This window comes from Homo sapiens, chromosome 17 (assembly GCF_000001405.40).
Source record: "Homo sapiens chromosome 17, GRCh38.p14 Primary Assembly".
In the NCBI taxonomy this organism is placed as follows: domain Eukaryota; kingdom Metazoa; phylum Chordata; class Mammalia; order Primates; family Hominidae; genus Homo; species Homo sapiens.
Window position 1 is genome coordinate 28,473,334 of NC_000017.11, and position 25,938 is coordinate 28,499,271.

General features: G+C 53.0%; 1 protein-coding gene across 9 annotated transcripts, besides 3 other annotated features; it reads left to right on the top strand.

Annotated features, from left to right (window-relative positions):
- SLC13A2 (solute carrier family 13 member 2) lies at positions 311 to 24,448 on the top strand. 9 transcript variants are annotated; one of them, NM_001346684.2, is made up of 14 exons: positions 311 to 481; positions 14,077 to 14,217; positions 15,881 to 16,009; positions 16,974 to 17,035; positions 17,121 to 17,257; positions 17,368 to 17,573; positions 18,104 to 18,284; positions 18,397 to 18,519; positions 20,238 to 20,456; positions 20,684 to 20,772; positions 21,058 to 21,179; positions 22,322 to 22,483; positions 23,117 to 23,254; positions 23,766 to 24,448. In NM_001346684.2, exons 4-14 carry the CDS (start codon positions 17,018 to 17,020, stop codon positions 23,934 to 23,936), a joined length of 1,566 nt encoding a protein of 521 aa, NP_001333613.1. In that variant the 5' UTR covers positions 311 to 481; positions 14,077 to 14,217; positions 15,881 to 16,009; positions 16,974 to 17,017; the 3' UTR covers positions 23,937 to 24,448. The 9 variants fall into 9 exon arrangements, with proteins under 9 accessions (NP_001333613.1, XP_047292967.1, NP_001333612.1 ...); XM_047437011.1 differs by having other exon boundaries at positions 16,974 to 17,257; NM_001346683.2 differs by lacking the exon at positions 16,974 to 17,035.
- Positions 9,682 to 10,195: an enhancer, noted in NCBI's record as "H3K4me1 hESC enhancer chr17:26810033-26810546 (GRCh37/hg19 assembly coordinates)". NCBI's record gives its function as "activates a minimal SCP1, AML or CMV promoter by ChIP-STARR-seq in naive H9 embryonic stem cells {active_cell/tissue: H9 hESC(naive)}" and the evidence as "EXISTENCE:reporter gene assay evidence [ECO:0000049][PMID:30033119]".
- Positions 11,619 to 11,668: an enhancer, noted in NCBI's record as "active region_11927". NCBI's record gives its function as "activates an Ori minimal core promoter by ATAC-STARR-seq in GM12878 lymphoblastoid cells {active_cell/tissue: GM12878}" and the evidence as "EXISTENCE:reporter gene assay evidence [ECO:0000049][PMID:35858748]".
- Positions 19,816 to 19,885: an enhancer, noted in NCBI's record as "active region_11928". NCBI's record gives its function as "activates an Ori minimal core promoter by ATAC-STARR-seq in GM12878 lymphoblastoid cells {active_cell/tissue: GM12878}" and the evidence as "EXISTENCE:reporter gene assay evidence [ECO:0000049][PMID:35858748]".

A 25,938-nucleotide genomic window follows, 5' to 3' on the forward strand; every position in this document is an offset into this window, starting at 1 on the left:
TTGGGGGCTGCCTGTGGAGGGTGGCTGGGGGACTCTCCTTCCTTCTCCAGCTCCTCCAGCACCACCCTCAGCAGCCTCCAAGAACAGAAGGAGTTAACGCTGGGATTAACTTCTTGAAGGAACCTGAAGTTTTTTAATCCTTGTTCTTTCCTCCTTCCTTCTCCCTCTCCCTTCCTGATCTTTACTCCGCCTGTGGGTCCCTCCTCCTTACTCTCACCTCCCCAACTCCAAAAACACTCTGATTGCCAGACTGGGTCAATGGTTAACACTCAACTGGCTTTATATAAGCCTGCCACCTGCCTGCTTGGCTGCATCTTTGGTCCTTCTGTTACCCAGCTCCTGGAGGCAGTGGCTGTAGCAGCCCTTGCTGCTCCACACCATGGCCACCTGCTGGCAGGCCCTGTGGGCCTATCGCTCCTACCTGATCGTGTTCTTCGTGCCCATTCTCCTGCTGCCTCTGCCCATCCTCGTCCCCAGTAAGGTAAGGACTTGGTGTTCTGAGCACAGATAACTCCAGGGGGCAGAGGAGGGACTGTCTGGGCCGGGGTTGGGCATCCTTAGGATCCAGCATAACTTCCTCACTGCCCCTGCCCTGGAAGTGAGGCTATCGCCCCCTGCTCCTCCTGAGGACTGAGGGCTAGGAGGTCAAAGGGGCTTTTGCTTGGCACCCAGTTGTAGGAGCCCAGCGTGAATTACTTAGGTGGGTTTGCAACCTACTGCCCTAGGAAACAGGAAACCAGTTCCATCAACAAGATGCAAGGGGGGCAGATGGAGCTGATCTACCTACTGTGTGCCCACCTAGCCCTGGACTGGGCTCCATGGCGGCTGAGATGGGCTGGCTGTGGGGAGGGGACGGCTGGGTAAGCAGCAGCAGAGTGAAGAGGGTTGGAAGGAGAATAGGAGAAAGCTGGCTGCAGGCGGTCTGCATCTTTAAGAGCATAAACAGGAAGAGAAAGAGTTCACCTGTGGATTCAAGGGCTAAGTCTGTGGAGGAGGAGGGGTGGGAGTTGGAAGAGGGGACCGCTGCAGGTAGACAGCACAAAAACTGTGCCCTGGATGGAGGGGGAGCTGGGCACAACCAGGCGTCACTGCCTCCTCCTCCGCCCCCAGCAGAAGTCATAACTTCATCTCTCATTAAATCAAGCCGCCAATGCCTGCCCTGCCCTAGGCACCCAGTAACCTTTTCCACCATCTTAAGAGGTCAGGCCTGACTGTCCCATTTGACAAATGGGGAAGGTGAGGTTAAGTCACTTAGTCAAAGTCCCAGGGCAGATCCAAGTTTCATGGAACTTGGATATTATACACTTTTGGGCCCCACTCTGTAAGAAAAAGGACACAAAAGTATTAATCTGAAATTAGTTTGGGGCTTTGGGAAGGGTCCAGGGGGAAGGCCTTGAAGTTCAATCTTCAGTCAGTCGGCCTCTGGCAAATCACACAGCTGGGAGGTTCAGAGCTGGGGGTGTGATCTGGTGCCAAAGCATGTCTTCTCTCCACCCTGCTGCCTCCTGCCCCACCCCACACCCCCAGAACTGCCCATCAAGCCATTTTCTTCCTTTTGTCATAGATAGAGAAATTGAGTCAGACTTTTTTGTTCATGGTATCCCAAAGGGGTGAGAGACTGGGGGTGATAGTGGCACAGCCCCTGGGCCCCTGACACCTGGTCAGTAACAAGGCCCAGCTGACCTTTGAGATGACCTTCATCTCAGGCCAAAGCCGGTGGCATCTCAGTGCTAGGGACCCATCAGATGGGTTTTCCGACAGGCTGGGGCAAGTGTGTTAACCCCAGGAGGGAAGCCAGACAGGGATTTTGATTTCTTCCCAATTCCCCTCGACCTGGGGAAGCACAGCACAGAAAGATTCAGTAACTTGCCCAGGTCACACAGGAAATCCTGAGTCAGTGCTAGAAGCCATGCCTGTTGGTGAGACTGGGATGTGTTAGGAGCCCCTGTCTTCTGTGCACCGTATCTGGCCCTGCTACCTGCCTCTGGCTCACAGATGCTGCCAGCCCCATCCTGACTCTGGTCCTGTCTAGGAGAGGCCAGCCCCTCTCAAGGACTTTGCTCCTGCAATTGTCCTCTCACTCTCCTACAAGATAAATATTTCCTCTCTGCCTGATCTCCCCCATCCACATACGGAGGTGCTGTAATATCTCTCATCTTAAACAAACAAGAGCTCTCTTTCAAGGCCACGCTCCTTCCAGGATAGTGCCTCTTTCTCTGCTCTCTCTCATAACAGGAAGTCTCAAGACACTGTCTACACCACAAGCGCACTTTCTCTTTTGTCAGCTCCCATCTCCAAGACTCAGATCCCATCAACTTCCTTGTGACCAAACCCTGGGCCACCCTCACATTCCTCAGTCCCTCGGCAGCATTTGTCACAGCTGTCACCCCGTCTTTGCCGTGCTGTCTTCTCTTGGCTTTGGTGACACCTTCTCCTGGTTCCTGCCCAGCCCTGCCCCTTCCCACCTTTCCTGACTCTGAGGTTCCTTCTCCATCTGACTCTGAGGTTTTCCAGGGTCCCCACTTCCCCTAGCTGATCTTATGCCATCTCGTGCTTTAAAAAGCATCTCTATGCCAATGAGTTATCAATCTGTAACCCCAGCCCTAAACTCTAAACTGGTATTATCCAATGAACACCAGCCATCTCCCTAATTGAATATTTTCTTTGTAAGCAGGATAAGCAGGTTACACTTTTCCACGTCCAAACCAAAACCCTTCCTGCCCTTCTCCAGTTGGCTTAGGCATCAAGAAATGCTTCAACCATCTACCTTGCTGCAACAGCCAAAAACTCGGGGGCATTCTTGATTCTTCTCCTTCCCTCCTTTCCACGTGCAGCAGAAGGTCCTGCTCATTTGATACCCCAAAATACTCTGAATGGAGTCACTCCCCGCCCTCGGATCCACTGTCTCCCCGGTCATTTCCCATGTGTCCCACTCTGCTCAAAACCCTACATTGGCCAGGCGCAGTGGCTCACACCTATAATCCCAGCACTTTGTGAGGACGAGGCGGGAGAATTGCTTGAGCCCAGGAGTTTGAGACCAGCCTGGGCAACATAATGAGACCCCACCTTAATTTGAAAAAACAAACAAACAAAAAAACCCTACACTGGCTTCCTGTCAAACTTAGGATAAAACCTCTTCAAGCAGCCAGAAGTCACCAAGGCTCAGCCCTGGACTCCCCAGGCTCCCTCCCCCTGTGACCCACCTCTCGCTCACTCTCCCCCACCCTCACCAGCTTTCTTTCTGCTCCTCACATTGCTCTGGACTGCTCTCCCAGATACCTCCTTCCTGTTTTTAGGTTTCAGCTTAAATCCACCTCCTTAGAAAAGCCTTCTCTGACCAACCCCAGTCATTCTTGGGGAAAAGCCCTGTTCTTTTGTTTATAGGGTGTTTACTCTCTGAAATCATCTATTTGCTTATTTTTTACTTCCTCTCTGGCTTCCTGCACTAGAATGTCGGCTCCGTGAGGACAGGGACTTTGTCTTGTCCCATGCAGAATCCCCAGTGCCTGGCACAAAGTAGATGTTCAAAAAATACTTGTTAGGCCTGGCGCAGTGGCTCACGCCTATAATTCTAGCACTTTGGGAGGCCAAGGCAGGTGGATCACTTGAGGTCAGGAGTTTGAGACCAGCCTGGCCAACATGATGAAACCCCGTCTCTATAAAAAAAAACACAAAAATTAGCCAAGCATGGTGGTGCACACCTGTAATCCCAGCTACTCGGGAGGCTGAAGCAGGAGAAACGCTTGAACCCAGGAGGAGGAGGTTGCAGTGAGCTGAGATCACGCCATTGCACTCCAGTCTGGGTGACAGAGCAAGACTCTATCTCAAAAAAAACAAATAAAAAACACCCAAGTTTTTTGTTTTTTTTTTTTTTTTTTGAGACTGAGTCTCACTCTGTCACCCAGGCTGGAGTGCAGTGGCACAATCTTGGCTCACTGCAAGCTCCGCCTCCCAGGTTCATGCCATTCTCCTGCCTTAGCCTCCCGAGTAGCTGGGACTACAGTCACCTGCCACCACGCCCGGCTAATTTTTTTGTATTTTTAGTAGAGACGGGGTTTCACCGTGTTAGCCAGGATGGTCTTGATCTCCTGACCTCGTGATCCGCCCGCCTTGGCCTCCCAAAGTGCTGGGATTACAGGCGTGAGCCACCATGCCCGGCCACCCCCAACTTTTTGAATGAAGAAAGGAAGGAATGTGCACACAGTGGATCCTGACCTGCATCCCTGTTGAATCTCTACTCTCTGTAATGAGTCCCCAAGCTTAGCCCCATGGCCCTGGCCTCCAAAGGGGGAAGAAGGAGCCCCAGCCTAGGCTCAAATTTGTGCCCATAATAATAATATTGACATTTGTTGAGTATATTTTATGTGCTTGACATTATGCCATGCACTTCAAAGCATTGTTAGATCATTTATTCCTTTCAAAAGCCTATGTGTCGGGCTGGGCATGGTGGCTCATGCCTGTAATCCCAGCACTTTGGGAGGCGGGCGCCCAAGGTGGGCAGATCACCTGAGGTCAGGAGTTCGAGACCAGCCTGGCCAACATGGTGAAACTCCATCTCTACTAAAAATACAAAAATTAGCCAGGTGTGGTGGCGCATGCCTGTAATCCCAGCTACTCGGGAGGCTGGGGCAGGAGAATCGCTTGAACCCGGGAGGCGGAGGTTGCAGTGAGCTGAGATTGTGCCACTGCACTCCAGCCTAGGAGACAGAGCAAGGCTCAGTCTCAAAAAATAAAAAAAAAAAGCCTATGTGTTACATGAGGTTACTACTACTATCTCCATTTTACAGACATGTAAACTGAGGGCCAGTGTGGGGAAGCAATTTGCTTAAAGTCCCAGCTAGGAAAAAAGTTTGAACTGGAACCTGGTGTTGGAGTCTCTGCCTGAGGCTCCCTGGGAGGCCGGTGGTGCCCCCGCTGTGACCCACCTCTCAGGCCATCCTTTCTCATGTCCGTCCAGCTGTCAGTCAGTCCTCCCACCATACTTCAGTCCAGCATATCTGTTGAGCTCTTGCTCTGTGTCAGGGGTTACCAAAAGGAATACAGATGTTCCATTCTCAAGTTGCTTATAGTCTATAGGAGGAGACAGGTGTTTACACCACACAAAGGTTCAGCCAGAAGGCTGCAGAGCTCAGAGGAGGGAGCAAATTCTTCCAACTGAGTCAAGGGAGAATCTGAAGGAGGCAACATTTGAGTTGGGCCTTGAAGGTTGGTGGAGTTTTAACAGTCAGAGGCATCAGCAGAACAGGTGAATGGAACCACAGGAGGAAAGATGTAGGGGCCAGGAATAGTAGGGTGTGTTTGAGGGGTGGCAACAGAACCTTGAAATGCTAGTCACTCTCTGGTGGTCCCAGCAGATGGGGAACAGGAGGGCCTGGGGTCTTCCTGCTCTCCCAACCCTGCAGCCAGACATGGAAACCTTACATCCATTCAAATGTATTCATCCAACCATGCATTTTGTTAGTGAACATAGAACTCAGTACTGTGTGACAAGTACTGTTTGGGTGTGTTGGGAAGAGAAAGTGGGAGGAGTGGGGAGACATACAAAAAGCAGAAACAATGCAGCAGGCTATGACCACAGCCTGGGGAGGGCTGCTCTAGATGGGGTCAGGGAAGGCCTCCTGAGGAGGGTGTTCCAACACTCTGGGAGGTCAAGGTGGGTGGATCGCTTGAGTTCAGGAGTTCAAGACCAGCCTGGGCAACATGGCAAGACCCTGTCTCCTCACTAAAAAAATTAGCCAGGTGTGGTGGTGTGTGCCTGTGGCCCCACCTACTTGGGAGGCTGAGGCAGGAGGATCACTTGAGCCCAGGAGGTTGAGGCTGCAGTGAGCCATATGGTGCCACTGCACTCCAGCCTGGGCAACAGAGCAAGACTCCTATCTCAAAAATAAATTCTCTATAGTCAGCCAAGCACAGCTCTGGGTAAAGAGCCATCCAGGCAGAACAAGCAGTAAGTGCAAAGGCCTGCAGATGGGGAGAGCTTAGCAAATTGAAGGGATTAAGCAAGGCCAGTGTGGCTTTGGGGGCTCGAGTGAGGCCTTAAGAGGCCTCACTAGATTGCTTAAGTCAAGTTTAGAGAAGAGGGTTGAGGTCAGCCAATGTCAGCCCTACAAGGCTACAGGGAGGAGTAGGGATTTTGTGCTGTGAGCATTAAGGGGTGAATAACTTACGACTCAGGGGTTGTTCAGCTAGTAAGTTACAGTCACAACACAAACACCTCCCAGGACCCAAAGGCATCTGTAAAAACAGTCTCCTAGTGGCTCAACATTGGCCAGGACAGAATTCAGCTGAAGTCAATATTGCATTTATTGTAAGGCCAGAAGGCAGAATTTCTTAATCTGAATCACTGGCCCTTTTAGAATGCATAAACATTACATGTGTTTGAATTTTAAAATCTGTGTAATTAAGGCTGGGAGTGGTGGCTCACACCTGTAACTCTTGCACTTTGGGAGGCCAGTGCAGGAGGGTGGCTCGAGTTCAGGAGTTCAAGACAAACTTGGGCAACGTAGAGAGACTTGTCTCCACTAAAGATCAAAAAAGTTGGCTGGGCGCAATGGCTCATGCCTGCAATCCCAGCACTTTGGGAGGCCGAGGCAGGTGGATCACCTGGAGTCAGGAGTTCGAGACCAGCCTGGCCAAGATGGCGAAACCCCATCTCTACTAAAAATACAAAATTAGCTGGGCGTGGTGGCACATGCCTGTAATCCCAGCTACTCGGGAGGCTGAGGCAGGAGATTCTCTTGAACCCAGGAGGCAGAGACTGCAATGAGCCAAGATCACGCCACTGCACTCCAGCCTGGGCAGCAGAGTGAGACTCTGTCTCAAAAAAAAAAAAAAGGGGGGGTCAAAAAAATTAGCTGGGCATGGTGGCGCGTGCCTGTGGTCCCTGTTACTTAGGAGAACCAAGGTGGGAGAATCACTTGAGCCAGGGAGGTCAAGGCTGAAGTGAGCAGTGATCATGCCACTGCACTCCAGCATGGGTGACAGAACAAGGCCTTGTCAAAAAAAAAATCTGTGTAGTTAAAATACTCTTAGTGCAAGCTGTTCCTGAACCTCAAAGGCAGGGACTTGGATGATTCACTTCGGGCATGAAAACTATACAAGGAATTTGGACCTCTGTTCTGGGCCCCACCTCTACCTTTTGAGATTTCTTGGCCCTCAGCTGAGATAGCAGAGTCCAGTGAACAAAACATGGATTTTGGAGCCAAACAGGTGTGGGTTCAAATCCATTCAGCAGCGTGTACTGCCGTGTGACCTGACCGAGCCTCTTCAAACCCTGCCATCTCTAAGGGGTGTTGTGAAGATGAGCTGAGATAGCACACATATACGTAGAGTACCTGGCACCTGGGGCTTGATAAACACTTGCTCCCTTCGCCCTCTGCCTCTTATCTGAATTCCTGGGCCCCTGGAAAACACAGACTGGTCTGGAGCCCTGTGTGGATACCTCACTTCTTCTCCATTGCTCTGTTCAAATGGGCTCTTGTGCTTAGGAGGGCCTCAGATGTTCCCACCTATAGAACAGGAAGGAATGTCTGGTCACCCACCAGATTGGTGAGCTGTGTCCCTAGGAATACCTGCAGCTGTGTGGAGGTAGTTTTTCTAGCCTCTGGGATGCCTGGAAATAGGATAAGAAGAAGGACCCAGCCTCAAAGGCCAGGGGGATCCCTGGCGTAGAGTCCCCAACTTGGATTTTGCCCAGATTACTAAATCGTGTCCCTGTTTATCGGCACCTGCTAGGTGAAGGCCAGGAATGGGAAAGTAAGTCACCCTCTTCGACAGTAAAGTTTCCTGGATGTAATCCAGCAGCGAGGCTCAGGGCTGTCACAAGGATCAAATTCGTAGAGGAGCTTGCATTTTGCTCTTTAGTGCATACAGGCAGGGCTGGCCCTGGCCCAGGCTGTGATATCAGGACTCTTCTCCCCACTTTTGTTTTCTCCAGCACTCAAAAATTCATTGTTCCCTTTGGCCTCTTAAAACAGAAGCTGATGCAACAAAGTCATTCACATCAAGGTGTGCAAATCAATGAAGGACACTTGAATGAGAACAAGCAAAGGGTAGGAAGAGTCACCGCCATCACGTGCAACTTGAGGCAGGCATGGGGTGGGAAAGCTTTAGAATGGTCAAAAGGGAAGGCTTCCAGTGCATGCTGTTGGGCACAGGGAAGCCATAGGCGGCTAACTAGAAGCAGCACCCCAGGTGACTGGTTAGGGGAGCACATTTCGCTTTCTGGGCTTGGTCCTGAGTTGGAAGTAGGAGTAAAGAGTTTGGGGCAAAAATCAGGGGAATTGGCAATCATCGAGCAAATCCTGAGTGTTTAGGGCTTACTGCTGTAGAGGTTGTCGTTTGACTTCTCGGCTGGTTATTACAGAAGTTGTGAAACATATTTTTACATATGAACTGGCCATTGTCCCCTTTGTATATTCAGTCCTCAAAGAATTAGGCATTTGGCATCTGCCTATTCTTCCTGGAAGAGACTTCCATCCCTCCACACTCTTTCATGTTTTTGTTTGTTTGTGAGATGGAGTCTCACTGTGTTGCCAGGCTGGCCTCAAATTCCTGGGCTCGAGCAATCCTCCTGCCTCAGCCTTCCATGTAGCCACACACCACTGGACCCAGCACCTTTTCATATTTTAATAGCTGTGTTTATTTATTTGTTTAGGTTTTAAAAGTTAAGGGTTTGTTTGTTTGTTTGTTTGTTTGTTTTGAGACAGGGTCTCACTCTGTCACCCAGGCTGGAGTGCAATGGTGCAATCTCAGCTCACTGCAACCTCTGCCTCCCGGGTGGTTCCGGTGATTCCCCCACTTCAGCCTCCCAAGTAGCTGGGATTACAGGCACATGCCACCATGCCCAGCTAAGTTTTTTTGTTTGTTTGTTTGTTTGTTTGTTTGTTTTAGTACTTTTAGTAGAGACAGTGTTTCGCCATGTTGCCCAGGCTGGTTTGAACTCCTGGGCTCAAGAAATCCTCCTGCCTCAGCCTCCCAAAGTGCTGGGATTACAGGTGTGAGCCACCGCACCCAGCCTATTACCTGTATTTCAATAAAATTGGTTTCCTTTGTAGTCTTATGTATTTTATTGGTGCATTTAAAAACATTATTCTAAGACACTGGAATGCTTCATCAGGCTGCCAAGGGGATCCTGGTACCAAAAAAAGTGTACAAACCCCTACATCAGAAATTTCCCTGAATGCATACAAACACTTGCACACAAATTTTTTAAACCGCGTGTGGTAGTATCTGTGTAATATTTTATTAAACCACAAGTCTGACCATGCCACTCTCTCTCTGCTTAAAACTCTTTGAGGCCTTCTCTCTTTTTCTCCCGTCTTCCAGACAAATTCCTAGATCCTCTCAGGGCAGACAAGGCTCTTTCCAAGAATGCATCTTGATCTTTTATGTCTCATTCTGTTCTACATTTACTCCCTCACCCCAACCCCCTTTGCCCACTAACTGAACTCCTACTCACCCCTCAGTACCCGCTCAAGGTTCCCTCTCTGGAAGCCTTCCTCAACCCAAACAAAAGGAGGCTCAGGGACGGGGCCCCTTCTCCTCTGAGCGCCATTCTTCTGGACTCTGCTTTACAGGTGCTTGGCAGGCTGCCACCCAGTGCCTCGCCTTGCTCCTGAGACCCGGGAGTGCTCCTGCCGGCAGCATGTCCACTTGCTAGGGGCAGAGGGGCAGTGGGAGTGTCCCCCATGTGCCAGCCTGTCCCCACCCTTGGGTTAACCTTCAGTCACCAGGAGGAATAAGGTGTGACACCTCTGAGACTGTGGGCACATGTGCTGCTGCCTGACAGTCACAGGCTGTACTGTGCCAGTGACAGAGGCCATGATGCCCACAGGTCCCACACCTGCCACACACCCCGGGTCCGGAGTCTGCCCTGGACTCCTTGGCACCTTCACTTCCATTTGTGCCTCATGTAACCTCTCTGGTTCTCCAGAAGCCCAGGAGCACATTTCTCTCCCAGCACCAACCCTGCTATGGGCTCACAGGCTACAATGCTTTAAAACTTATTCCTGGCTGGGCACGGTGGCTCACACCTATAATCCCAGTGTTCTGGAAGGCTGAGGAGAGAGGATTGCTTGAGCCCAGGAGTTCAAGGCCAGCCTGGACAATATAGCGAGACCCTCATCTCTACAAAAAAAAAAAAATTGTTTTAATTAGCTGGGTGTGGTGGCACATGCCTATAGTCCCAGATACTCAGGAGGCTGAGGCAGGAGGATTACTTGAGGCCAGGAGATCGAGGCTGCAGTGAGCTGTGATCACATCACTGCACTCCAGTCTGGGCAACAGAGTGAGACCCTGTCTCTTAAAAAAAATTTTTTTTAAAAAAACCTTATTCCTACATTTGTTAGCTCTCTTCGTCCTTACAGTAGCCCAGTTAGGTGGATGTTTCTGTTATCCCCATTTCCAGATGAGGAAACTGCATAATGGAGATAAATGTGTTTACAGCAGCGAATGCTTGATGTTTCTTACCAGAAAAGCTGAGAGAGGTTAAGTAACTTGCCCAAGGACACACAGCAGTAAAGCGGGGACTCAGCACTCAGCATGTGCCCTGGACATGTGCTTTCCCACTACAGAAGAAGCAAGCTGCCTGGCTTAGGGTTTGGAAGCCCCTCTGGGGGTTTCTGTCTTCAGTCTGCCCTTCAGGCCAGCCCACACAGGCACTCAGACTCCCCGAGGGCCAGCGCTGGGCCTGACTGATGCCTGTACCCCTAGGGCCCACGTTCATTCACCCACTCATTCAGTGTCAACTCTGCTAAATAGATGCCAGGCACCTCGCTGGGGTGAGCAGAAACAGACTTGCACCCTGCTCCCTGGAGGGTAGAGTCTGACAACAAAGATTGATACTCATCTTTTAGTCCCTAAAACTAAATGTTTAATTGCAGACTATGATGAGTGCTATGCAGAAGAGGTACAGGGACTTAGAGTGTGAAAAATGGGAACTATATCCCCTCCTGGAAGCCAGCCTGAAAAATCAATATTTGAGCTGAGATCTCAAGAACCAGTAGATATCAACTACGCAAAGTAGGGAGGGAAGAGAGGTCCAGAGAGAGGAAATCGTGTGCAGAGGCCCTGTGGCCAGAGGGAGGATGCAGTATTTGAGGAACCCACAGAGGGCTGGTATGGCCAGAGCAGAGAGAGTAAGGGGGAGAGTGTTAAGACATGAGGCACAGACCAACTCTAAACTTAGGTTCCTGAAAGCACTAGGAAGCCACTGAAGAGATGTGAGCTGTTTTGAGATGAGTGTGTGTGTGTGCTGGGGGAGGGGAGGTGCAAATTAAACAGATTTGTGCCTTGAGATCACTCTGGCTGCAGCAAGGAGAAAGGATTTCAGGGTCAAGAGAGGAAGCTGGGAGATGAATAAGGAGGCTTTTGCAGAGGTCTTGCTGAGACTTGGACCAGGCTAGTGGTCCAGAGCTACAGAGAAATAAATGGGAGCACTCAAGGGGCAGAACCAGCAGGACTGGGTGCATGGCCCAGAGAGGGTATTTGTGGAATGAGTGGCTGATGAACAGGCAGGAGACCCAGGGTCTGCCTGAAGTGGGCTTCCAGTCACAAGGATTGACTGCTGGGTGGAGAAGAGTGAGGATCTGAACAGGGTGACTTCCTTGGGGGTGGGGGTGACACCAGTGGGAAAGGAGGCTTTACAGACCAGGCCAGCACCTGAAAAAGAGAGACAGGCTAGATCATAGAGGAGAAAGAGGCTACGCCCCCGTCCTCAGGAGCCCATAAACAGATCTTGAGAGGAGAGTAGCTGCTACAGTCAAGGAACAGAGCTGGGGAACAACCACCCTGCTGGCCTGGGGAAGGAGGAGGCAGGGCCAGAGGTAGAAAGAAGAGCATTCGCCACCAGGAGAAAACTCTTCCCTGCTGGTTTCTGAGCTCCAGGAGGGGCCACCAGGGACTGTGGTGCAGGCCATGCCTTGCACAACTCCATATGAGAATGGCGACCTGGACTTGTGCAGTGCAGCAGTCCTGGGGAGCAGCCAGTGGCCAGCGTGTAAACCAGCTGAGTCCAATGCCATAGGCTGTCAGTTGAACTTGGCTGGCCTAGGTTCCATAGAGCTGGGTTGCAAGGCAGAGAGCACTAGAGTGACCTGGAAGGATAAGGCTGATCCCCAAATCCCCACTTCTAGAGCTGGGAATACTGACCTTGTAATTGGATATACTGTGTGCCTAAGAAGAAAAGACCCCTAGGGCTCTGCCCTCAGGGAGTGCCCGAGAGTACCTGACCCAGGGGGCCTCTCAGAACACTGACAGCTCCTCAGTCTCAAACCCAAACCCTCTAAGCATCAACAACTGTCAACAAGGCAAAGCTAGACCTCTCTGAGTCTTGGTTCTGCCCTTTTCAGAAAATTACTTTGAAATGCACAGGCCAGGCACAGTGGCTCACACCTGTAATCCCAGCATTTTAGGAGGCTGAGGTGGGAGGATCACTTGAAACCAGCAATTCGAGACCAGCCTGGGCAACAAAGCAAGAACCATCTCTACAAAAGATACAAAAAAAAAAAAAATTAGCTGGGCGTTGTGACACATGCCTGTAGTCCCAGCTATTTGGGAGTCTGAGGCAAGAGAATTGCCTGTGCCCAGCACTGGAGGCTGCAGTCAGCCTTGATCACATCATGAACTCCAGTCTGGGCAACAAAGCAAAACCCTGTCTTTAAAAAAAATTTTTTTTAATTAGAAAAAATAAGAAATAAAATATACAAAATAAAATGCATGGGATTACAAATAAACCAATTATTTTGAAATACAGGTATCAAAATATGGAAAAATAAATTGCAGCTCAGAAATAGATGTACTTCCTTGCTAGTACATTAGGTAAGATCTAAAGTTGGTATAATAACTACCAAAATTTCAAAATAATGATGGAGGTAAACAGAATGTCGAGAGCTATTCTGAAACAACTGCAACAACTTATCTGGATCGGTGTCTAATAGCTGATAGCCACAGTCAAATATCTGTGACCAAGTCACCAATAATGCCATTAATAGCACTATGATTTTATGTTCATAACCTTAGTTCGATGTTCTTGAATAGATAAAATAGTTTTCCCATTTATCTTCATGGATTCTCAGAACTCCATGCCCCAGTTAAGAATCTCATGATGCAGGAAGAACAAATCAGCGAATTGTGCTCCAGCTTGACAGGCTGCCTAGGAGGTGGGATGGGGAGGCAGGGCCAAAGCCACCCGGGGTTAATGAAGGCTTCTGGATGGAACTTCGGAACAGGTCTTGTGTTTTGATCTGAGACTGAGGACACCCTCAAATGCAAGATGTTTAAAGGGTTTGAGACTGAGGAGCTGTCAGTGTTCTGAGAGGCCCCCTGGGTCAGGTACTCTCGGGCACTCCCTGAGGGCAGAGCCCTAGGGAGATAGAGAGGAACCCATCACAGACATAGGCAGCAGGGAGCAGGGAGCCATGCATCAAACACACTGGAACACATGGAGGCGAGTCTGACTTTTTTTTTTTTTTTTTTTTGATACAAGGTCTCACTCCAGTTGCCCAGACTGGAGTAGTGCAGTGGCGTGATCTCAGCTCACTCCAGCCTCAACCTCCTGGGCTCAGGTGATTTTGCCACCTCAGCCTCCCAAGTAGCTGGGACTACAGGTGCTCACCACCACAACCAGCTAATTCTTGTATTTTTAGTAGAGACTGGGTTTTGCCATGTTGCCCAGGCTGGTCTCAAACTCCTTTACTCAAGTGATCAGCCCCCCACGGCCTCCCAGAGTGCTGGGATTACAGGCGTGAGCCGCCATGCCCAGCCTGGTCCGATTATTAACAACTCCCTTTGGAGTATGGAAACAGGGTCTCAAAGTGACATGCTTAACAGAGCCCAGCCACAGGAAGTGGCAGGCCCTGGGGAAGATAGCTCTGGATTCAGAGCCCCAGCTCATTCTCCCTACACTCCACTGGTCACAGGGAGCCTGAGGCTGAGGACACCCTCAAATGCAAGTGATCATGCTCAGGGTAGCAGGTGAAAGCTGGGGCCCGGGAAGCAGATGTCCTGGCTTCTCCACTTACTATATGTGTGACTTTGAGGCATTTTTGAAATGTATTTACTCCTTTCTTTTTTCAGCTGTGAAATGTGAACAATAGTTATTACCTCTGAGAGCAAATAAATGCAACTTGTAAAAGCATTTGAAGCACATAGAATATGACGCCTGGCACAAAGTCATCCTCCAATACTTATACAGAAACTTCTTCCTGAATCAGCAGAGTGAGCGCAACCCCAGCCCTGCTCCTTGTCTCTGGCCAGAGAGTTCTGGGTGGACAGGGTGGAGGACACCAGGGTCCAGGAGGGCTGGCCCACCCTTAGTCCAAGGGGAGGGTAACTGGCCATTCAGTCATTGCGGGTGAGGAAACACTGGCATCAGCAGAATCCTGCTGGGGGAGGAGGGGGCTGGGTTTCTCTGTCTGAGGGTCAAAGTGGCCCCAATCCTGGGGCTGATGAGTTTGTCTCCAGGATGAAGAGAGGTAGTAGAGGTTTGGTGGAAAGAGAGCTTGGCTTCGGACAGATTTGGTGGGGCTATGTGCAGTTGGGCAGGCTACACACTGCACAATTACTGGGGCACCATTCACACAGACTACAAGGGGAGTGCTCTTAGGTAGTGCTTGAAAGTTACCCAATCCCAATCCTTTATCTGAGTTCCATCCAGGCTCTGCCACTTTTTTTTAATAGTTCTGTGACCCTGAGCAAGCTGTTTACCCTCTGAGCTCATCTATAAGGTGGGACCCCCACACCCACTTTAATGGCTGTTATGTTTTCATGTAAACACAAAAATGACAATACTAAGTTCCTAAGAGTTGCTGAATAAATAGCAGCTGCCTCTTCCCCCAGGCCACCGCCTACTCCCACCTCAGGGACCCTTCCCAAGCTTTAGGGTACTAAGAGTGTGAGCTTAGCCTGTACGAGGTGGAGAGGACAAGGACAGGGCAACTGGGATGGGCAAGGGAGGAGGGGGTCCCCAGCCCCATTGTCCAACAAACCCCAGCATGCGGCCCCTTCCCTTGGCAAATAAAGAGTGGGCAGGTGCCCGGCCCCTGGAGAGGGGATACGGGTGCCCTCTCCTGGCTAATGATTCCCCAGCCCTGGGAAGCCTCCTGGCTAATGATTCCCCAGCCCTGGGAGAGGCTCTATAAGGGGGGTGGGCCTCCATTCTTGCCCCAGGTCCCCTTCCAGGCCTGAGGTCAGGCTTCTCTAGACTTGGGGGCTTCATGCAGGAAAGAGGGACTTCTGGTACTCAAAGACTCACAAGACTCAGCATTGCCCCACAATTCCCTGCACAACACAAGCATCTTGGGGGAAACTTCACATAGCCTATAAATGTAAATTGCTCCTCTGGAGTTGTGTAATGCAGCAGCCAGACCAGGATTGCTAGAAAGGATGCCACAAAACCGACTCTGTCTGATGGAGAGCTCACTCCTAGCAAAGGGAACAAACACTAAATATCCAACAAACAAACATACTCTTGCAGCTTGTGATAAAAGCCAGGGAACGCCAGGGTGCCAGGCAAAGGTCCACATTGCCCAGGTCCTGCTCCTTCTTCTGGCAGCCCCCATCTCATCTTGGGATCCTCAGCTGGGCCCCTGCAATCCCACTGGGCTGGATGGGGACTGGTAACCAACTCCAGACTCTCCGAAGTGGCTGGCTTGTAATGTCTGGGCTCCCCAGGGTCAAAGACAAGGTGATATTGAGTGCCTTGCTTTGCTTTTTATTTGCATTTTGAAATGAGACCTTGGGCTTGGGAATCAATGACTGTGGGTTTCACAGGCTCTCCCCAGGCAGTCACAAATGGCCTGGTTTGTCTGACAGACAGGAGGTGGCATAGCTCTGGGACACAGGCCCTCTGACAGCTCTGCCGCTTCTCTCCCACCTGCAGGAGGCCTACTGCGCGTATGCCATCATCCTCATGGCGCTCTTCTGGTGCACTGAGGCCCTGCCCCTGGCCGTCACTGCCCTCTTCCCCTTAATCCTGTTCCCTATGATGGGCATCGTGGATGCCTCTGAGGTGAGCCCCATCCATAGGAGAAAGCGTTCTGGGCAGTGCGGGAGGCCAGGGGGTGGGTTCCCTCAGCCCTTGTTGACAAAGGAAGCCTCACCATAGGCAGGGCACATGGATTAGGGGTTCCTGACTCTGCATGAGGAAGAAGTCAGCTAGAAGGCTGCGGGCTGGGGTGGGGAGGGGTGCAGAATTAGTGCTGCGAGTTCATTCAAGGTGAGAGTGATTAGCCAGCCGTAGGTGGGAGGTGGAAGGCCTAGTGACACAGAAAAGGGGCCTTGAGGGCCAGCTAACACACTCATATACTTCTAGTTCAGTGGCTCTTGAACTTGAACAGCATCGGAGTCACCTGGAGGGCTGGTTAAAACACAAATGGCTGGGTCCAGAGTTTCTGATTCGGTAGATCTGGGGTAGGGCCTAAGCATTTTATTTCTAACAAGTTCCAGTTGGTGGTGATGATGCTGGCCCAGGGATCATACTTTGAGAACCACTGTCTAGTTTTTAGAAACCGCACTAAAGTATCTATCTCCCAGTCCATGGCTTGAAACATGAATGGAATCACGGTAGATTATCTCCCAACTAATTATTCCTGAGGGGAGATAAAGTGAGTTTGACAAGAAGAGGGGAACCTGGTTGATATTAAATGATAGATAATCCAGGCCGGGTGTGGTGGCTCATGCCTGTAATCCTAGCACTTTAGGGGGCCAAGGCGGGTGGATCACTTGAGCTCAGGAGTTCGAGACCAGCCTGGCCAGCGAGGTGAAACCTCATCTCTACAAAAAATACAAAAATTAGCCAGGCATGGTGGTGCGTGCCTGTAGTCCCAGCTACTTGGGAGGCTGAGGTGGGAGGATGGTTTGAGCCAAGGAGGTGGAGGTTGCAGTGAGCTGTGATTGTGCCACTGCATTCCAGCCTGGGCAACAGAGCCAGACCCTGTCTCCAAAAAGTTAAATTTATTTTTTTTAAATGGCAGATCATTCAGAGACCATTTCCATCCAGTTTCGAGAGCCCAGGGGAATGCCAGTCTGTGGGAATGTCAGTGACTGCATCCCATAACCTCGGGGGCACCGTGGGAGACTCCAGGGTCTTCCCGCCGCTCAGCCATGTCTCCACCTGCCAGGTTGCCGTCGAGTATCTTAAGGACTCCAACCTCCTGTTCTTCGGGGGGCTGCTGGTGGCCATCGCGGTGGAACACTGGAACCTGCATAAACGCATCGCCCTCCGTGTCCTCCTCATCGTTGGGGTGCGGCCTGCCCCGTGAGTTCCTCCTGCAAACCAGCACGGGAGAACCTGACGAGGAGATATTCTGGGCACCCAGTCCCTGAAGGGAAGCTGGAACAGCAGTGTGTCTGTCTGCCCATCCCTAGGCTAATCCTGGGCTTCATGCTGGTCACGGCCTTCCTGTCCATGTGGATCAGCAACACGGCCACCTCAGCCATGATGGTGCCCATCGCACATGCCGTCCTGGACCAGCTGCACAGCTCGCAAGCCAGCAGCAACGTCGAGGAGGGCAGCAACAACCCCACCTTCGAGCTCCAGGAACCAAGTCCCCAGAAGGAGGTGACCAAGCTTGGTGAGAAAAATGAGGCTAGACTCTGCCCCAACCCCTTGGTTCTTGGAGAGAGTCTGAGGGTCTGTCCGTTTCGAGGGCTGGTCATCTTGGAGCCTTTGGGGAGAGAAGAAAGAGATGCAAGAAGGACAGTGACCAATTTGTTTTTCCTTTTTTAAAAAATGTCAAGTACCCTGTTTTGGGAATCCCCTCATCCCTGGGCAAACCAAGATGCTTGGTCACCATAGCAAGAAGAGAGCTGGAGTCTAGGTGAACAGTCCAAGGTCTAGGCTCCATTCTTCCTGAGTGGTTTGGGTAATCCTCGTTTCCCTCTCTCAAGAGAGAGGTCAGATCATAGAGTGTCCAAGGGTGCTCCCAGCCTGAGACTCTGGGGAATGCTGGGCCCCTCAGGCCTGGAGACATCCTCTGTCCTCCTTCCAGCCCCGGTCTGGGCTGTTCACAGACAAGGTACCCTGGAGGGCCTTGCAGCCCTGGCCCCGTTCCCCAGAGCTGGCCCTGTACCTGCCCCCACCTGGGCTCTCCCTTGTTCCCAGATAATGGGCAGGCCCTCCCTGTCACGTCTGCCTCTTCGGAGGGGAGGGCACATCTCAGCCAGAAGCATCTCCACCTCACCCAGTGCATGAGCCTGTGCGTGTGCTACTCCGCCAGCATCGGGGGCATCGCCACGCTGACTGGCACCGCACCCAACCTGGTGCTGCAAGGCCAGATCAACTCGTGAGTGACAAGGGGTGGGCCACCTTGGGGGATCTGCACATTCACTGGGAGGTGAATGGGGCTGGGCAGTTCTCGGGGCAATGTCACACGGCAGCCCATGTTCCTCCTTCAGGCTCTTCCCCCAAAACGGCAACGTGGTGAACTTCGCCTCCTGGTTCAGCTTCGCCTTCCCCACCATGGTCATCTTGCTGCTGCTGGCCTGGTTGTGGCTGCAGATCCTCTTCCTGGGCTTCAAGTAAGTGGCAAAGTTGGTGAGAGAAGCCCAGGTCCCTGCCCTTAGCCCTGGGAGCTTCCAGTTGGGTGCAGATGTGGAAAATGATATTATCACCATCCCAATGAGAAGGCTTCTCCCTCCCAAAGCCCCTCTGTGCACTTGGACCCCCATTTGAGGAAATTACTGGGTAGAGAGTATTATCCCATTTCACAGATGCGCAAATTGAGGCTTCAGGAGTGGTTCGCAACTAGATTTGTCAGTGCTGGGGCTGCAAACCAGGTCACTTGATGCCCCTTCCCATAATGGTCCACCGTCCTTTGATAGGTGCTTAAGGGGCACACACTGAGCATGGTTAGTTACAGAAGCACCTGCTGTGTTCCTACTGTATACTGGGTTGTGTGTAAGGCACTGAGAATACTAGAAGGCACTGGGCACAGTCCCTGTCCTTGTAGCCCATCAGGTGGATGATGATATGGTGGGGTCACGACAGAGGGAAGCCCAGATGCTGCAAGAGCACAGAGAACACAGTGTCTAGTTCAGCCCAGGTGAGTGAAGATTCCAGAACACCATGGAGGAGATCATGCCTGGGCTGAATCTTGCAGGACTAGAAGTCAGCCAGGTAGAGAATGGGTGAAGAAATTCCAGGCAGCAGGAGCAGATTGCACAAAGCACAGAGGCAAGACAAGACGTGTTCGAGGGAACTCTAGTTCTGCAGGACTAAAACACAAACAGCAAAAAGGAGCATCAGGTCATGAAGCTGGAGAAGTAGGCAGGGGAAGGTTCTGGAAGCTCTTGTGTGCCACCTAATGAAGCCAAGAGTAATAAATAGATTTCATTCCTACTTCCACCAGGTTCCTGGTAGTCACTGTTTGGAGCTCTGAGTTGGAAAATCATAGGAGACCCTGCTAAGGCTCAGTTAGTATCAAGTCTGTGATTGATTAGTGATGTCTGCCATGAATACGGGATAAGAGTGGTGGTATGAGTGTTACTGTGGTATTAATTATAATTTGCCCTTCCTGCCCAGGCAGTGGAGAGCCCTTGAAAGTTTTTAAGCATTGCTGCTGCACTTTGGAAAAATCACTTGGGCAAATGTAAGGAAGCTGGATTAAGGTTGGGAGCTGGTACAAGGCAAGGTGGTAGTAGAAGAGGTCAGCACAGTGCCAGGCACCACAGGGGAGTCAAAGATGTGTGAAGTGTGGTCTTTGCCCTTGAGGAACTCACAGTCCAGCAGGGAGGTTGAGATTTACCCAAGTGGAAAGTTAAATGTCAACACAAGTTAAGTCAGCAGCAGAAGGAAGTGGGCTGCAGCCTACTGTGCCTCTGAGGACAATGCAGGTGGGGCTCAGGCTGGCAGGGGATAAGCAGAGAAGGCAGAGGAGGGAAGGGAGGACTTCCCGAAGGCTGTTGGAGGAGAAGAGCTGTGAGCCAGGGCAGGAAGAAGTCCCAGGGTCTGAGCTGCTAGGTCCTCCTCACCCTGGGCAAGGGAGGGTTCAGCACCATAGAACCCCTGGAGGAAAAGGGGCTCAATGGGGCAGGGCCAAGCATGGAGAATAAGCAAGAACTATGGCCTCTAAAAGTCTTCTGCTCCTCCTCCAGAACCTCAGGCGGAGCTGGGGCCTGAGTGTAGTGACCCTGAGATGCCCTCTGTGGGCCTCAGCCTTTAGATGGTAGGCACTCAGAGCCCCTTGCTCCCTGCTGGAGCAGGCCCCCCACGAGCTGCCCCGTCCCTCTGCCTGCAGCTTCCGGAAGAACTTTGGCATTGGGGAAAAGATGCAGGAGCAACAGCAGGCAGCCTACTGCGTCATCCAGACCGAGCACAGGCTGCTGGGCCCCATGACCTTTGCAGAAAAGGCCATCAGCATCCTATTCGTCATCCTGGTGCTGCTCTGGTTCACCCGGGAGCCGGGCTTTTTTCTTGGCTGGGGCAATTTGGCTTTTCCCAATGCCAAGGGGGAGAGGTGAGAGTTGCAGGGGTTGGGAGGAGGACACATCTGGGGCTCACATGCTCGGGAAGGAGGGAAGGGTATAGGGCCCCCATTGCAGAACAGGAGGTAACACTTGGTGGGGGATGAAGGTTCCCCAGGCTTGTCTATGGGAGAGGCTCATCTCCACCACCCTCCACCCTGTGGCCCTGAGCAACCCCAAGCGGCTAACCCAGCCCTCCCCGCGCCCCCTCCACCAACAGCATGGTGTCCGATGGGACAGTGGCCATCTTCATCGGCATAATTATGTTCATCATACCCTCCAAGTTCCCAGGGCTGACCCAGGACCCAGGTAAGCACCTGGACTGGGGCAGGGAAGGGTCTCCGGGCAGCCCCTGCCTTCAAGTATGTAATGTACCTTCCACCACACTTGGCAGGAGTAGGCAAAGCCCAGAAAGGCTGGAGCGACTTGCCAAGGGCACAGGGACTCGGAGACAAAGTTGAGATGTTGCAGAACTGAGGGTCCCCTCCTGCACGCGTTAAGCTCCAAAAGGGACCCACACAGGGAGCCCGCAAATGGAGAGGGGAAAGGCCTGTTTGTTCTTTGGTGACCCATCCTTCTCTGCTTGGGAAGTAGAAAACCCAGGGAAGCTGAAGGCCCCTCTTGGCCTCCTCGACTGGAAGACGGTGAACCAGAAGATGCCGTGGAATATCGTGTTATTGCTGGGTGGTGGCTATGCCCTGGCCAAGGGCAGTGAGGTGAGAGGCCCCCAGCCCCCTCCTCAGCCTGTGTGAGGGTGTCTCTGTGGCAGGGAGAGAGGGGGCCCTGCTTCTGTCCCACAGAGGGGAGACCTGGTCCCCACGTAGGAGCCTCTCGGGTAGGCAGAGCCTTTGCAGCAGCTGGGAAGACTTAGGTTAGAGCCCTCATGTGGGAGGAAGAAACACAAGCCCTAGGGACCTCTTTGTTCAGTTCTCAAAGTCCAAGGGAAGGCAGGATTCTCTGGTGGGCAGAGCCTGTTCTCAGAGACAAATGCCATCCCACCCCAGCCCTTTGCCCGCTGCCAGAGCACACAGTAGCATCAGCACCAAAGTAATTGGGGGTTGTGTTGACGCGGTCTGCCCTCCGCAGCCACCAGGGGGCACCATGATCACACCCACCCAGGCTCTGGGGACCAGAACATCTTTCCCCAGAGCCTCCATCCAAAAGAGGGAAATCCCTGACACGGCATCCCTGGGCCTCCGTGTTCTGGCTCAAACAGAAGGTGGCTGCCCAGGTCAGGGATCGGTGCAGGGGACTCCTGGGTCTGTGGCATGTTCATCCACTGACTGTGCCCAGTCCTGTGCTAGGCGCTGGCCCCACTGAGCGAGATTAAGTCCCACCTTACAGCCTGGCATTCCAGACGTGGGAAGGCAAGACCTCGGAGCTCTTCTGACCCTGTGGACTGTCCCTGTCCTCCCATTAGCCTCTTGCAGCCTCTGTCAGGGTCCTCCCCCAACTTTCCCTCCCTGCCAGGAGCAAGGTTCCCTCTGCCCCAAGCCACTGGACTGGAAGGGGCAGGAAGAGGGCTAAGGTTGTCCAGGGACCTCCTGAGAGAGGTCAGGAAGGCAGGAGTCAGTGCGGTCAAAGATTTTTGCTCCCACCAAGCCCCAAATTTCCCAAGAAGGCCCTTTGGCCCCCTCCTAATTTCTCATCTGCCCCTTCTTCCCACACCCAGCTGTTCTTCAAGAGCAGGAAAGGGCACCCCTTGGTCTTAGCTGGGTCCTATCATCCCTTTAGAGCTGTCTTTGACTCTGAATACCAGGGAGATGTTAGCAGGAGCAGGAGCCTCATAGAGCCTCGGCAGAAGACTTGGGGGCCCAGGCAGCCTTGCCTCTCACATGCCATCCTCCTCTGCCCACAGCGATCGGGCCTGTCAGAGTGGCTGGGAAACAAGCTGACCCCACTGCAGAGTGTGCCAGCTCCAGCCATTGCCATCATCCTCTCCCTCCTGGTGGCCACCTTCACCGAGTGCACTAGCAACGTGGCCACCACTACGATCTTCCTGCCCATCCTAGCCTCCATGGTGAGCTGGCCCTCAGAAACACCTCCTCCAGGCAGCCCGCCTGCCTGCCCCACCAGGGGTTCTGCCTGCTGGGCAGAGTATCCTGTCTTTGCACCTCCTCTTTTCCTTTTCCTGAAGAGGACCCCTGAGTTTCCATCCTTCTCCAGGCTCTTGAGCCACCTTGGGCCCCAAGGCGCTTTGGCCCCTGACTCACCCCGTCCCTCATGATGTCACCCCTGGAGTATCCTGATGGGGATCCTGGTGGCCTCACCCACCTCCCCACCCCAGTCCCTGTTCTGGTCATTCCTGAGGTGACGGGGTGAAATTGCTCCCCGAAGCGTCCCAAGCCCCTTCCTCCCCAGGCGTGTTCCTGCAGCCTTTGATGACACCCCCGGAGCCCCTTTGAGATCAGTTTTATGGGCCCCTCCCCTCACCACACCCCACAAGGCAGGGCAGCACACTCATTCCCTCCAGAGAGGTCAAGAGGCCCTTCCAGGTCACCCAGTGCCTTCTGGGAGAAGAGGTGGGCTCATGACCAGAGAGTGTATTAGGGTACAGGGGTTGTTCCCCAGAGAAGCAGGAGAATTGGGGGCCATGCCCCTCCCTCTGGCTTGGGGACCAAGTTCAGCTCTGCGCCACTGCCTCCCACTCCAGGCCCAGGCCATCTGCCTCCACCCTCTCTACGTCATGCTCCCCTGCACTCTGGCCACCTCCCTGGCCTTCATGTTGCCTGTGGCCACCCCGCCCAATGCCATCGTCTTCTCTTTCGGGGACCTCAAAGTGTTGGATATGGTAAGTGGCAGGGAGGCCTGAATGCCTCATCCCTCCTTCCTGCTCTGACTTTTCATCTTAGTGAACCACAAAGCAGCTTAAAGCCACTGAGAGTCTCAGAGTTGAGCGGGTCCTCATCTGGAATGAAGGTGCAGTTGGGGAGGTTGGGACATGACCTCTCAGTGGTGGCATCTTCAGGCCCTGCCAGCCCCAGGCTATGTGAGAGGGAGGGAAGTGGGTGGGGAACATGGGGAAGGCTCCAAGGTGCCAGGCACCCACACTCAGGGAGATGAGCTCAGAGAGAACAAGCCCAGGGCCCTGGAAGCTCAGGAGGAGCGCCCCTTTCCCCTGTTAGCACAGGGAGTAAAGCAAGGGGCAAAGGCATTGGCTATGCTGCAGGTTAGACCAACGGGAGGACTTCCCAGAGAGAATTTTGCTGGTAGGAGGGCTCCTGTGCACCCCCAAACACCTGGGGACTTGGGGGCAGTCCAGCCCAGTCCCTGCTTAGCCAAATGGACTCTCCTCACACCAGGCCCGGGCAGGATTCCTCCTCAACATCATTGGAGTCCTGATCATCGCACTGGCCATCAACAGCTGGGGCATCCCCCTCTTCAGCCTGCACTCTTTCCCCTCCTGGGCACAGTCCAACACCACAGCCCAGTGCCTGCCAAGCCTGGCCAACACCACCACACCAAGCCCCTAGGCTGGGGCACAGCCTGGCCATGCCCAGGAAGACCCACCCCATTCCCACTCCTCTGAGCCCGGAGGGGACACCCCAAGCTCCAAGCTCCAAGCTCCAGGCCAAAGGCTGAAAGGCACGTGTGTACATAATCTCTTGCGTGTCTGTAAGGAAGGGGTGTATGCTCAGTTTCCTATGTGCTGGAATAAAAGGTGTGTGCATGTGTGTGTGCGCATATGTGTGCGCCTGCATGGATGTGAGGGGTGTGTGACGTGAGGCTATCTGAGGGGGGCTGTGTGCATGCACATGATCCTAGGTATGTATGTTGGACAGTGCACACGTGTGTGTTCACAGACAATACAACATGCCCTCTCTGGTGCCCCAGGTCTTGGTATCCCCAGCTTAGTGACCAGACTTACTTGCACTGTATTTATTGAAATTCAGGCTTGGAGTGGCCTGGGAGGAGGGCCTGCCAGCAGCTGCCACGGGAACAGCCTCTGGGCTGTTAAAGTCACATTAAAGTCTTTTTCAGTAAAGTCTGGGATGGTTTTTCATGGCACTCTCCAGGGCTAGTCCCCAATGTGGTTCAGACCCCAGGTTGGGGGAGTCCAGAAGGAGGGGGCCTGGCCTTTGTCCTATATGCAGCCCCCTTGGCACCCCTCCCACCCAGGGGGGAAGGTAATGGCCGGGCATCCCTGCCAAGGCCCATCAGAGTGGGCGCAGCCACCTAGGAGAGCAGCACTGACATCACTGGGCCTGGCTAATTGGGAGCTGCCAGTCCCTGCGTGTCTTTGGGAAAACCAGCTTCCCCGTTCCCAGAGCACTCCCTGGGTATTTACATAAAACCCTCTGCCCCTGCCAATTCCTCATCGACCCTTCCTCCAGCTGGAAAAACCGGTCCCACCAGGCCAGAGAAGGCAGGCTGACCTGTGCTGGGTGCCCAGAGGACCGACCCTCATCCTGCAGCACAGCAACAGGCTGGAAACTGGCATGGCCTTCAGAGTCCAGGACCAGAAAACTTTGGATGATTCCGCCTCCCCCACCCCACCTCCACCCGGCCTCCCCACACTCCCCCACCCCACATCCTCATGGACTCCAGAGTTTTCATTTATCTAGCAAGGTGGGGGTGGGGATGGGGAAGAATGACACCGTATCCATCGTTCCATCTGCGAGCCAAACAGCCCTTCCCTGCTGGAAGTTCATCTTTGTGTTGATGCTAAGTCTCGCCCACTGTGGACAGTGGCGTGTCAGCCTTGAGTTCATCCAGAAGGAAGCTTCCTAGAGTCTCACCCCATCCCCTCCTCCTCCAGTGGGACAGAAAAGAGATATTTCTCATCACCTTCATGCCCAAATGAAAAAGGGGGCTGGGCTGTGAAGAGAGAAAACCAGAAAGGATTTCCTTCTGGATCCCCCTGGGCCGGGCTTTCACTGGGTCCTCCCAGAGCTGGGGGTTGGAAGTGCAGTTAGGAGGGGGCACTGCGTGGGGGAGTACGTGGCTGTCCCCAGGGGACAGGGGGTCCTGACAGGACACGCCAGGCATCCCAGAGAGCCAGGAGTGTCAGGCGGGTGGCTCCAGCCCCACCCTGGTCCCCCAGGCTGGCATTCCTCACTCATGAAGCACAGCCATAAATCACAGCTCCCACTCAGACCCACAGGAGGACCCCCTCCCACCCACCAAAGCCCCAGGCAACAGTCCCCTGCATTGGAAACGGCTGGCCCCAGAATGTTGGGGCTCCCCCAGTGGCCTACCCACAATGCAGTGGCTCCCTAAGGAGCAGCCCAGCTCCATCTGCAAGGAGGACCCTCTGCTGCCACTTCCTTCTGGACCCTGGCTGGGGAAAAGGAGAGTGTGCTTCTCAGGGTGCACATGCCCTGCCCACTGTTCTCGGCACACTTCCCCCTCAGTCCGGCTCAGAGAGGGTCAGGTGTGGACTGAGATCACACAGCAGTCCCAGAAAGTGAGCACCCGGTTGGCCCTGCATTCTCCAGGAAGGAGGTGGACGCCAGCCAGCCTGAGGGTCGACAG